This window comes from Homo sapiens, chromosome 15 (assembly GCF_000001405.40).
Source record: "Homo sapiens chromosome 15, GRCh38.p14 Primary Assembly".
Taxonomy (NCBI): Eukaryota; Metazoa; Chordata; class Mammalia; order Primates; family Hominidae; genus Homo; species Homo sapiens.
The window spans coordinates 26,360,386-26,361,593 of NC_000015.10; the positions used below are offsets into that span (position 1 = coordinate 26,360,386).

The 1,208-nt window shown below is 39.1% G+C and overlaps 1 annotated feature.

Moving 5' to 3' along the window:
- Positions 508–678: a silencer, noted in NCBI's record as "fragment chr15:26606040-26606210 (GRCh37/hg19 assembly coordinates)". NCBI's record gives its function as "represses an EF-1alpha promoter that drives an FKBP-Casp9 reporter gene in an ReSE screen in K562 erythroleukemia cells {active_cell/tissue: K562}" and the evidence as "EXISTENCE:reporter gene assay evidence [ECO:0000049][PMID:32094911]".

Sequence of the window (1,208 nt, forward strand, 5' to 3'; positions counted from 1 at the left end):
TCCGGCAAGCACAAGAATTTCCTTTGATGATGGAAATGCAATAAAAATAAAATCAATGATTATAATGTTATCTTAAATGACTTATGCTGAGCCCTGAAGATATTGCATCTATTTGTCCTTTTGAAGCATGTATTATTCTATTATCTCTATAACCTGTCATGACTAATAAACACGGTCACAGATTGTATTTCCTGAATCTATTAAGTTCTCAAAATTATGCTGCTTCAATTGTTTTGATTTTCAAAAAGACTTCATCTGGAATTTTAAAGATCTTTAAATTAACACAGGTTTTATAGATGTATAAATGATGCTTGCTTATCTGATGAGAATCTTCTTATCTTCTGTGGTCCTTTAGTGTGGAATGGCCTGAGGTCAGATGGCAAAGCTCCCCAACAACCTACTGCTCTGGGGAAGCATCTCAGGTTTCTGAAGTTACTATTCAGCTTTTTCACTTGTCATTTGTCTTGGTACTATCTGTAAAATTTAAGAATTGATTGATTCTCAAAACATTCACCAAGTTTCTGTACATGTAAAGCCTATTTGTGATATTAAGATGGAAAATGTGGCTGGGCGTGGTGGCTCACGCCTGTAATCCCAGCACTTTGGGAGGCCAAGGCAGGCGGATCACGAGGTCATGAGATCGACACCATCCTGGCTAACACGGTGAAACCCCGTCTCTACTAAAAATACAAAAAATTAGCCAGGCGTGGTGCCGGGCACCTGTAGTCTCAGCTACTTGGGAAACTGAGGCAGGAGAATGGCATGAACCCTGGAGGCGGAGCTTGCAGTGAGCCGAGATAGCACCACTGCACTCCAGCCTGGGCAACAGAGCAAGACTCCGTCTCAAAAAAAAAAAAAAAAAAAAGAAAAAAAAGATGGAAAATGTATGGTTGCCCTGCCTTTAAACAATCAATCTGGTGTAATTCCAATACTGTATGACATGCTAAATGCAATGTAGAGTTGTAGACACTAATTTTTACTAGAAAAGAAGCCATTTTATTGGCCTTGGGGAAGGAATCAAAGAAGGCTTCCAGGAAGTGATGATTTTAGAGCTGAGTATGGAGAGGCACGAGTTACCCAGGTTTGAAAAGAAACAAAAAGAAGTTAGAAAGGGGAAAGGTGTTCTTCCATCCTACTTTTTCCCCTTTATTTCTCTTTCTTTTCCAATAAATATTGGTTGAAACTATTTATGTGCCAAGAGTATGACC